This window comes from Homo sapiens, chromosome 16 (assembly GCF_000001405.40).
Source record: "Homo sapiens chromosome 16, GRCh38.p14 Primary Assembly".
Lineage (NCBI taxonomy): Eukaryota > Metazoa > Chordata > Mammalia > Primates > Hominidae > Homo > Homo sapiens.
Window position 1 is genome coordinate 24489284 of NC_000016.10, and position 12150 is coordinate 24501433.

The window sequence follows — 12150 nt, forward strand, 5'->3', positions numbered from 1 at the left end:
TATGCGAAACAGTATGAAACTTTCAAGGCTTGCTTTTCAGACTGTTAGCCAGGTCCAAAACAGCCTCTAGTCTAAAGTTAATTTGGCCACCAGTGAGACAATATCCTTCTCAGGACTCCATTCAATGTCCCATATATGAGGAGGCTGATATGGTTTGGATATGTGTTTCCTCCAAATCTCATGCTGAAATGCAATCCCCAGTGTTGGAGGTGGGGCCTAGTGGAGGTGTTTGAGTCACGGGAGCAGATCCCTCACAAATGGCTTGGTGCACTCCCCGTGGCCATGAAAAAGTTCTCACTCTGTTAGGTCATGCAGAAGCTGGTTGTTTAAAGGGGCCTGGCATCTCCTCCTCTCTCTCTTGCTCCCTCTCTCACCATGTGATGTGCCTACTCCCTTTTTACCTTCCGCCATAACTGAAAGCTTCCTGTCACCAGAAGCTGAGCAGAGGCTGGTGCCATGCTGCTTATACAGAATCCTGAGAATCCTGAGCCAAATAAACCTCTTTTCTTTATAAATTACCTAGCCTCAGGTATTCCTTTGGAGCAATGCAAAATGGACTCATGGAGAGGTCTTTCCTTTCTGGTCAGTAAGAACACAATTCCCGATCCTATGTGAGCTCCACCTGGTCCTTCTTGGTGGTCTTTCCTTGGCCTCTGGGAGTTTCTTCACAGGCGTGTACTGATCAGTACTCAGCTAAGAAATGGAGGGGAATGCTCTAAACAGCTCCAAAATCCTTTCTGTGTGGTTCACTCCCTTGCCTTGGCCTCCCCAGACTCTCAATGCAGGGACACTGTCGTATTCTGTTGTGTTTCTCCTCTCTGCATCAAGACCTGTGGCCATCAAAAGACTTAGCTATTTCCTTTCTTTCAGGATCTCTGTATTGTGCTATCTGTGGTTCAATGTCCGGAAATTATTGTTTCATATATGTCATCGGGTTTTTGAGTTGTTTAAAGCAAGAGAGTAAATCTGGTCCCTCCCAGTCTGCCATGGTTGAAAACTGAAGTCTCTGAAGCCAGGATCTGAACCCAGGGAGACTGACTCCTCAGCTTCCTCCCCATCCCTTATCAATCCTTCAGTTCCTTCTCGTGTTTATTCAAATGTCACATCACTACTGAGAGGTCTTTGCACACCACCTCAGCCCCAGCTGCACTCCCTGTCCTCCCTGTTTCCCTCCAAGGAATGAAAGCTCCACAAGGGCAGGGACTTTCGCTTTTGATCCTAAAGACTGAGGTCCGGCACGTGGCTCACACCTGTAATCCCAGCACTTTGGGAGGCTGAGGCAGGTGGATCACCTGAGGCCAGGAGTTCGAAACCAGCCTGGCCAAGATGGTGAAATCCAAAATACAAAAAAATTGCTGGACATGGTGCCACATGCTTGTAATCCCAGCTACTCAGGAGGCTGAGGCACAAGAATTGCTTGAACCTGGGAGGCAGAGGTTGCAATGAGCTGAGATCGTGCCAATGCACTCCAGCCTGGGTGACAGAGTGAGACTCTGTCTCAAAAAAAAAAAAAAAAAAACACTGAGGCTTTGGTCCCATCCCCCAGGAGCCTGAACTGCATGTTAGAACAGAATCTTGAGCTTATGACATATTCAATACATGATTTTTAAATGAATACATAGCATCCTCTGCTCTCCATGCTAACATGCAGGTCAGGTTTACTTAGTGTAAGCAGATAGGGAGGGTCTCCAGAGATTACAAGAATTTAATGAACTTGAGCAATCAGCCTGTTTTATAGCCTCCTGCCCTGAAGTCCTTTTCTTCCTAAACCTTGTATGGAATGCAGTCACCTAATCAGTTAAAACCAGCTCCTGGCAGACTCCCACAACTTACAGATGAACCCAAGTGAACATTCCTCATTACCATGCTAAAGTCTCCACCCCCAGAGGAGCTATAGCTTCATTACCTTAACATGCAACCTATGTGCTGGCATGATAGCTCAGCGCATCTGCACAACTGAGACCCCACTACACGCAATGCTGCACCCTCTCCCTTCTCTATTACCCCATAAAACTCGCCTATCACTTTCCCTTGGGAAGACACTGCTTTGGAGAATACTCTCAATGTTCTCCTTTACTTGTATCAAGTAATAAAACTCCTATTGATCCAAACCTACATCCCTATAAAGAGTCTTTGTTACTTGCCTGATGAAGAACCCCAGTTTTGTTTTGTTTTGTTTTGTTCTTTGGGATGGAGTCTCGCTCTGTTGCCCAGGCTGGAGTGCAGTGACGCGATCTCAGCTCACTGCAAGCTCCGCCTCCCGGGTTCACGCCATTCTCCTGCCTCAGCCTCCTGAATAGCTAGGACTACAGGCGCCCACCACCACACCTGGCTAATTTTTTGTATTTTTAGTAGAGATGGGGTTTCACCGTGTTAGCCAGGATAGTCTCGATCTCCTGACCAAGTGATCCACCCACCTCAACCTCCCAAAGTGCTGGGATTACAGGTGTGACCCACCTCACCTGGCCAAGAACCCCAGTTTTTTAGAACAACATTAGCATCTGTGCTCTAGAAAACATCCCACAATGGGCAAACCAAGGACAGATTCTCCACTAAAAGAGAACAAAGCTCATTTCCCCAGGAGAGATTAAGTTGGAGCTGGACACAAATAGCCCTGGGCCTTACAGCCATCTTCTGACATTAGTCACGGGAGTGAGGTCACCCCAGAACACAGAGGTTCAGAGCTCTAGAGCTCCACTGTCCATTGCAGTATCCATGGGCACATGTGGCCATTGGGCACTTGAAATGTGGTCAGTCTGCATTAAGTTGGGATCATTAGTATAAATTACACCCCAGTATTTTAAAAAACTTTAGTATGGAAAAAGAAAATAACGATGTTTTATATTAATAGCACACTGAAGTAACAGTAATTTAGTCATATTGGGTTAAATAAAACATTATGAAAATTGTCAGCCGGGTACAGTGGCTCACGCCTGTAATCCCAAAACTTTGGGATGCCGAGGCAGGCGGATCACTTGAGGTCAGGAGTTTGAGAACAGCTTGGCCAACATGGCAAAACCTCCTCTTTATTGAAAATACAAAAATTAGCTGGGCGTGGTGGGGGGCACCTGTAATCCCAGCTACTCTGGAGGCTGAGACACGAGAATCACTTGAACCCGTGGTAGGGGGTTGGAGGTTGCAGTGAGATGAGATTGTGCCACTGCACTCCAGCAGCCTAGGCAATAAAGCGAGACTCCGTCTCAAAAAAAAAAAAAGAAAAAAAAAAAAGAAAATTGTCATGGGTGTCTTTTATTTTTTGGTTGGAGTCAGTGGTGTGATCATATCTCACTGCAGCCTCAGCCTCCTGGGCTGAATCCATCCTCCCACCTCAGTCAGCTAATTTTTTTTTTTTTTTGAGACGGAGTCTCAAAATTTTTTAATTTTTTGTAGAGACAGGTTTTGCTATGTTTTCCAGGCTGCTCTCAAAATTCTGGCCTCAAGTAATCTGCCCTCCTCGGCCTCCCAAAGTGCTAGGATCACAGGCGTGAGCCACCGTGCCTGGCCTCATATTTATTTATTTATTGAGACAGAGTCTCACTCTGTCACCCAGGCTGGAGTGCAGTGGCACGATCTCGGCTCACTGTAGCCTCTGCCTCCTAGGTTCAAGCGATTCTCCTGCCTCAGCCTCCCAAATAGCTGGGACTACAGATGTACGCCACCACCCCCGGCTAATTTTTATATTTTTTTAGTAGAGATGGGCTTTCACCATGTTGGCCAGGTGGGTCTTGAACTCCTGAGCTCAGGCAATCTGCCCACCTCCACCTCCCAAAGTGCTAGGATTACGGGCTTGAGCCACCATGCCCAGCTATTTATTTATTTTTGTGGAGACAGGGTCTCACCATTTTGCCTAGGCTCATCTTAAACGGCTCAAGCAATCTCCCACCTTGGCATCCCAAAGTGCTGAGATTACAGGCATGTCCCACCACGCCGGCCTCTCTTTACCTTTCTAATGTGGCTAGCAGAAAGTTTAAAATTACATGTGTGGGTCAGATGACATTTCTCTTGGGCAGCACTTCCCTGGACAGGCAGTGTATCCCAGAAAGGCAGACCTGGGCTAGCCACAGAATCTTCAACCCCATCCCCAAGACTTGAGGCTGACAAGAAGTAAAACAAAGTGAAGGTGGAGGAGATGAAAAATGGGATGCAAAGAAACAGATGTGATATAGTCCATCTTTCTCTCTCTTTTTTAAAATATAGACTGGGTCTCACTGTGTTGCCCAGGCTGGTCTCAAACTCCTGACCTCAAGCAATCCCCCCAACCTCAGCCTCCCAAAGCACTGGGATTACAGGTGCAAACCACCATGCCTGGCCATCTTTTTTTATTTTTTAATTGTGATAAGAACACTAGGGGCCAGGTGCAATGGCTCACACCTGTAATTTCAGCACTTTGGGAGGCCAAGGCAGAAGATCGCATGAGGCCAGGAGCTCAAGACTAGCCTGGGCAGCATAGCAAGACCCCCATCTCTTAAAAAAAAAAAAAAAGAAAAAAGAACACAACATGAGATCTCCTCTCTTAACAGATTTTTTAAGTGTCCAATACATTCCTGCTGACTATAGGTAAATGTCATACGGCAGATTTCTAGAGCTTATTCATCTTGCTTGACTGGAGCTTTCTGCCCATTGATTAGTAACTCCCCATTTTGCCCTCCCCCAGTCCCTAGCAACCACCATTCCACTCTTTGATTCCGTGCATTTGACTATTTTAAATCCCTCCTATAAGTGGAATCATGCTCGGTACTCTGACGCCCTTTCCCGCTCACTCCTTCCCCACCCCGTCCTCTAGGCAACGCAACATGAGTCACCTACTCATTGCCTTAGGGAGAAAGTTGTCACCATAAAACCAGAGAACAATAGAAACAAATGCTTAGTTTTTAAAATCAAAAGTCAAAGACAAAGTCATAATCCAGACTGGGTAAAACCCCCTTGATACATCAGTGTTGTGTGGGGAAAAATAAATTTAACAAAAACCCACAGGCTTTATCCGTTTCCAATATCAAGAAGGGTCCCCAGGGCAGAAACAGAGTTGGACTGGGAACCAAGTTGAGTGCTTGGTGAAAATCAAGCCGCCATGTACCATGCCCCCCTCACCTGTGACACCATCAGAAGGTCACATAGGCTGGGAGATAAGAGCCTAGCCTTGGCCAGGCACAGTGGCTCACTCCTGAAATCCTAGCATTTTGGGAAGCTGGGGTAAAAGGATTGCTTAAGTCCAGGAGACCAACCTGGGCTACATAATGAGACCCCTTCTCTACTAAAAATAGAAAAATTAGCTGGGCATGGTGGTGGGTGCCTGTAATCCCTACTCAGGAGCTGAGGCACCAGAATCCTTTGAACCTGGGAGGCAGAGGTTGCAATGAGCCACGATCACACCACTGCACTCTAACCTGGGTGACAGAGTGAGAATCTGTCTCAAAAAAAAAAAAATTAGCTGGTCATAGTGGTGCATTTTTGTAGTTTCAGCTGCTTGGGAGGCTGAGGTGGGAGGATTGCTTGAGCTGGAGAGGCAGAGGCTGCAGTGACCCGAGATTGCATCACTGCACTCCAGCCTGGGCAACAGAGAAGGAAAGAGAGAAAGAAAGGGAGAGAGAAAAAAGGAGAGAAGGTGGGGGGAGGGAGGGAGGGAGAGAGAGAGAGAGAGAGAGAGAGAGCCCAGCCTTGGAGCCAGACTCCCTCCGTTCAAATCCTCGCTCTGCCACTTACCAGCTGCATGACCTTATGAAGCACCTTCGTTGTCTGGGGTAAATGCCTGAGGTTCGTCGTCTTACGCCAAGGAAATCGAGGACGAGGACACGCAAGAAGTGAGTTTAAGAGAAGAGGTTTAACAGAGAGAAAGGGAAAAGCTCTCTCTTCTGCGGAGAGAGGGGACACCTAAGTGGGTCTTTGGGTTTTGCGGTGAAATGCATGTGCGGGGAGGGGAGGGTTTATAGACTGGCTTGAGGAGGTGTTGTCTAATTTACATAGGGCCCAAAGATTGGTGGACTAGGTGTGATGTTTACAAAGCGCGCAAAGAAGCTGGCCACCCCACCCTAATCTTCTATTATGCAAATGGCTTCTCTACCTGGCCGGTGTGATGTTGTCGGTTCCTTACTGTACACCTAGTTGACAAAGAAAAGGGAAGATGGAGCCGCCATGTTGAACATGCCTGGCCGCCACGTAGCCTTTTCCTATTGGCACAGCTGCTGCATTCACCCATGCAAGCTTCCAGCTTGCTTATCTATGTCTGCAGCTCGATTTTACAGGCTGCTCTTTGTTAGAAAATAAATGATTTAGGGACTGCTTTTTGTTAAAAGGGAAACAGCCGAGGACTTCCTTACCCTCACTATCTGCCTAAATAATTTTTTAGCGCCTGTACCACTTAGACCCACAGGGAGTGACGTTCTCCAAGCTCCTCAAAAGAAACTTAGAGGGTGGTGGTTAAAGTTGAGTCTTCGCTTCACTCTTACTTGGGGTCTATGTCCCACCATCTGAAAGACAATTCAGGGAGCTTTGTTAAGTTGTTATCTTTAGTTTCTGTAGGGTAAGCAAATATCTCCTAACTCTTAACTTCCTTGGCTATTGTTTCAGGATGATTGCCTTTCTTGTTTAAGAAGTTACTTATTTAGGGCCGGGTGCATTGGCTCAGGCCTGTAATCCCAGCACTTTGAGAGGCCGAAGTGGGCAGATCAAGAGGCCAAGAGATCGAGACCATCCTGGCCAACATAGTGAACCCTATCTCTACTAAAAATACAAAAATTAGCTGGAGGTGGTGGCACACGCCTGTAGTCCCAGCTACTCGGGAGGCTGAGGCAGGAGATTGGCTTGAACCCAGGAGTCAGAGGTTGCAGTGAGCCAAGATCACGCCACTGCACTCCAGCCTGGCAACAGAGTAAAACTCCACCTCAAAAATAAAAAAAAAAGAAAGAAAGAGAGAGAGAGAAAAAAAAAGTAAGTTACTTATTTAGTTCTCAGGGCCAGCTAGGTGCCTGGAATTTCCCTTGAAGGAACTCAGGATTTTCCTTTACTTCCATTCTTAGGCTTCACAGGCCCTTACAAAAGGGGCTCCTCACTCTGTCTCAGTTTCACATCATGCAGTAGGTCAGATGGGCCTCAAGAAATGATCGGGGCATACACATGGGCATGGCTTCTCTGGGATTTTTGTTTTTACTTTTTTATTTTTTGAGACAGGGTCTCACTCTGTCACCCAGGCTGGAGTGCAGTGGTGCAACCTAAGCTCACTGCAGCCTGGAGCTCCTGCACTCAAGTGATCCTCCTGCCTCAGCCTCCCAAGTAGCTAGGACTAGAGCCATGCACCACCATGCCTGGATAATTTTTTCATTTTTTGTAGAGATGCCCAGGCTGCTCTTGAACTCAAGCGATCTCCCACCTTGGCCTCCCAAAGCACTGGGATTACAGGGGTGAGCCACCACACCTGGCCCTGATTAGACTTTCTAGCCCTGCTAGAAAGCACTGCACTTCCCTTAATAGAGTAGCCCAGGCCTGGCTCCTTGGTGGCAGCTGCACCACTCCATGTGTACACCATGCAACTGTACTCCATTGCATGCTTCAGACTGTACTCTGTGAGCACCATTGACCTGAACTGCAACTGGAATAGTGCTCTCTAGAGTTATGCAGTGCGGCAGTCCTGTGTTCCTTGGGGAACCTCGAGCCTCCTGAATCAATGCTCACTGCCTTTCTCTGCCATCAGCATTTGTTGTTCAGTGACCCAAGTGGTATACTGCAGTGGTTCTGAAACGTTGGTATGCATTGGAATCACGACAGACTGTGAGGCACCATCCCCGGAGTTTCTGATTCAGTAGGGTCTGGAGGAAGGCCCAAGACTTTGCATTCCTACCACATTCCCAGGGGAGGCTGATGTTGCTGGCCCAGGAGGCACCCACTGGTGTAGTGGGTGCTGTTGGTGCCTCACAGGGACCCTCTTCCCAGCCAGTGCATCCATCCCCAGATGCCCAGAGCACTGGCTGCTAATAGCTCACAGCTGTTTCCTCTCTAGAGCACTGCGTGGTATGGGTTGAATTAATTGTATGCTCCTAAAATTCCAGTGTTAAAGTCCTAACCCTCAATATCTTAGAATGTGACCTTATTTGGAAAGAGGGCCTTTAAAGAGATAATTAACTTAAATTATATCATTAGGTCTTTAGGGCCCTGATCCAATATAACCACGGATATAGTTTGGATATTTGTCTCCTCCAAATCTCATGTTGAAATGTGATCCCCAGTGTTGGAGGTGGGGCCTAGTGGAAGGTATTTGAGTCATGGGGGTGGATCCCTCACGAATGACCTGGTGCCATCCTCCCAGTAATAAGTTGAGAAGTGATTCTTACAAAGAGCCCAGCACCTCCCTCCCTCTCTTGCTTCTTCTCTCACCATGTAATCTCCGCACATACCAGCTCCCCCTTGGCCTTCTGCCATGAATAGAAGCATCCTGAGCTCTCAGCAGAAGCAGATGCTAATGCCATGCTCCCTCTACAGCCTGCAGAACTGTGAACCAAATTAATCTCTTGTCTTCATAAATTACCCAGCCTTGGGTATTCCTTTATAGTAATGCAAACAGACTAGGACCACCACTGTCCTTATAAAAAGGGGATATTTGGACACAGACAGACAGATACACACACACACACACACACACACACACACACACACACTGCTAGGTAAAAATGAAGGTAGAGGGCCAGGCGCAGTGGCTCACACCTGTAATCCCAGCACTTTGGGAGGCTGAGGTGGGTGGATTACTTGAGCTCAGGAGTTTGAGACCAGCCTGGGCAACATAGTGAAACCCTATCTCTACCAAAAACACAAAAATCTAGCTGGGCATGGTGGCACGTGCCTGTAGTCCCAGCTACTCGGGAGGCTGAGGCAGGAGGATCACTTGAGCCTGGGAGGCAGAGGTTGCAGTGAGCCATGATTGCGCCAGTGCACTCCAACCTGGGTGACAGAACAAGACCCTGCCTCAAAAAAGAAGACAGATTGAAGTGGTGCTTCTACAAGCCAAGCGAAACCAAAGATTGCCAGCAGACCACCAGAGGCTGAGGGAAAGGCATGGAACAGACTCTCTCTCATGGCCCTCAGAAAGAACCAACCCTGCTGGCACCTTGAACTTGGACTTCCAGCCTCCAGAACTATTAGAGAATAAATGTCTGTGGTTTAAGCCATCCAGGTGGTGGTACTTTGTTTCAGCAGCCTTCCAAACTAATGCACAGCCCTTGGGCAGAAAGGAACCACTAGATGATGGCCCCCACACCTCCTGGGATCAGACCTCGGACGATAACCCACGGGAATGGGGCCAGCCCCTTGGCCTTAAGTGGGGACCAGCTCTGTGTTGTCATTTTGCTTCCTGTGGCATTAGTGAGCTTTCTGTACTGTTTTATCCTGCTTCCTCACTCATCTCCTCCTGAGAATTCTTGGTTTCCATCTTAGGATCTCCTGCTAGGGAACCCAACTCAAGTCAAAGGATGAGAATTTGCATTCCCTATTACCCCATAGGCAAGAAATGATTACTTTCTCTCCTCCCAATCTCCACCTCACCATCAAAGAAAGATGGGCGGCAGCCTAAACCTTGTGGGTATTTTTTGTTTTGTTTTTGTTTTCTGTTTGCTTGATTTCGGGGTGGTTTTGTTTTGTTTTGTTTTGTTTTGTTTGAGACAGCCTGGCTTTTTTACCCAGGCTGGAGTGCAGTGGCTTGACCTCGGCTCACTGCATTCTCTGCCTCCTGGGTTCAAGTGATTCTTTTGCCTCAGCCTCCCCAGCAGCTGAGACTACAAGCGTACACCACCGTGCCCAGCTAATTTTTCTATTTTTAGTAGAGACAGGGTTTTACCATGTTGCCCAGGCTGGTGTTTTTTGTTTATTAAGAGATGGGGTCACCCTATGTTGCCCAGACTGGACTCTACCTCCCGGGCTCAAGCAATCCTCCCGACTCAGCCTCCTGATGGCTGAGACTACAGGCGCCCACCACCATGCCTGGTCTGTGTTGGCTATGGTCTGTGTTGAAGCCTCCCTTACTTTGAGTGAAAAAGAACCTGCTCCTAGGCCTATCTTTGGGATAAGAAATTGTACTCGGCTCACCAAGGCCAGGGTGGTGGAATTACGGAACAGAAGCGCCCTCAGCTGGCAAGCTGGAATTAGACACACCCAACTCAATTTCTCCTGTGGAGAAGGAACAGCGAGGGAACACCAGCCCTCTACAGCCTTCCTTCCTCCACACACGCACTGCTACCCATGCTTTCAGAAATACTAAGAATTAGCCGAGCGTGATGGTGCATGCCTGTCGTCCTAGCTACTCCAGAGGCTGAGGCGGGGGGATCTCTGCATCTGAGAGTTTGAGGATGCAATGAGCTATGATCATGCCACTGCACTCCAGCCTGGGCAACAAAGCAGGACCTGGTAATACGGTTTGGGTCTGTGTTCCCACCCGTATCTCATGTCGAATTGTAACCCCCAATGTTGGAGGTGGGGCCTGGTGGGAGGTGATTGGATCATGGGAGGGGATTTCCTCTTGGGTGCCGCTCTCATGATAGTGACTTACCACTAGAGCTGCTCATTTAAAATTGTGTAGCACCTCTTCCCCTGTTTCCTCCTGCTCCAACCATATAAGAGGAAACTGCTTCCCCTTCGCCTTCTGCCATGATTGTAAGTTTCCTGAAGCCTCCCCAGCCATGCTTCCTGTACAGCCTGCAGAACCATGAGCCAATGAAACCTTTTTTCTTTATGAATTACCCAGTCTCAGTTATTTCTTTATAGCAGTGTGAGAACGGACTGATACACCTGATCTCTAAATTAAAAAAAAAAAAAGTTAAATACTAAGAAGTGATTTGCAGAGCTTGTAGGGGTAAAGCTGGGTCTAGAGAGGGCTCAAAAGTACTGCTTCCCCATATCCATCAGTTCAAAGAGTGCCTGGCCTCGATCATAGACTAGGGCAGAGCTGGCCTCCAGCATCTGTCCAAGAATGTGACCCAGACCTCCTGCCCCAGAACCTCCTAAGGGTGAGAACAGGCCTTTGGGACTCTGCCTCCCTCACCCTCACCACCATGACCCGGACCCTGTGTTTCTTGTTTCATTCCTTACTAGTCCAGATAGTCCAGGGTAGGAAGGCTTGGAGGGACAGAGTGTGGGATAGATGTGCACACACTGCAGCTCTGTGTCTGTGTGTGCATGCAGGGCCATGTGTGTGGGAAAGATGCAAGAAACGTCTCCCTAGGAGGGGAATACCTGCACACTGGTTGAGAACATGTTATTGTGAAAAGGTACCTTGGAAAGCGCTGTATCCATCAGCTTCATTGAGCAGATAAGGAAAATGAGGCCCAGAGAGAATAGACCTGCCCGAGGTTGGTCATGCTGGAGCTTACCCCAAGAAAAGAGAAGTAAGCGTGATGTGTATATTGGGTTGTGCACATGTGTGCTTGCCAAAAAAAAAAAGGTTTAAACACACACACACACCTCCTCCCCCACTTCTTCCTGCTACAACCATATAAGAGGAAACTGGAGTTTTTGTTTTGTTTTGTTTTGTGTTGTTGTTGTTGTTGTTTTGAGTCAGGGTCTCCTCTGCCACCCAGGTTGGAATGCAGTGGTACCACCTTGGCTCACTGCAGCCTCAACCTCTTGGGCTCAAGCCATCCTCCCACCTTAGCCTCTCAAGTAGCTGGGACTACAGGTGTGCACCACCATGCCTGGATAATTTTTTATTTTTTTACTTTTTGTAGAGATGGTGTCCCACTATGTTTTCCAGGCTGGTCTCGAACTCCTGGACTCAAGTGATCCATCCTCCTCAGCCTCCCAAAGTGATGGGATTACAGGCATGACCCACCATACTCAGCCCCAGGAGTCTTGATTTATGCCCCTGAAATGGTTTGGGTCCATGTCCCCACCCAAATCTCATGCCAAATCGTAATCCCCAATGTTGGAGGCCGGGCCTGGTGGGAGGTGATTGGATCATGGGGGTGGATTTCCCCCTTGGTGCTGCTCGTGAGTGCTCATGAGATCTGGTTGTTTATTTTGGTTTTGTTTTTTGTTTTGTTTTGTTGAGACGGAGTCTTGCTCTGTCGCCCAGGCTAGAGTGCAGTGGCATGATCTCAGCTCACTGCAACCTCTGCCTCCTGGGTTCAAGCGATTCTCTTGCCTCAGCCTCCTGAGTAGCAGGGATTACAGGCATCC

General features: G+C 48.0%; 1 long non-coding RNA gene across 1 annotated transcript in view; it reads right to left on the bottom strand.

The window, feature by feature from the left end:
- Positions 1–5894, bottom strand: part of LOC105371143 (uncharacterized) — a 29652-nt gene extending 23758 nt beyond the window's left edge. Inside the window, exon 1 of the long non-coding RNA XR_950928.3 lies at positions 5701–5894. This is a non-coding gene — a long non-coding RNA (uncharacterized LOC105371143). The remainder of the gene's footprint in view (positions 1–5700) is intronic.
- Between the last annotated feature and the right edge of the window lie 6256 nt (positions 5895–12150).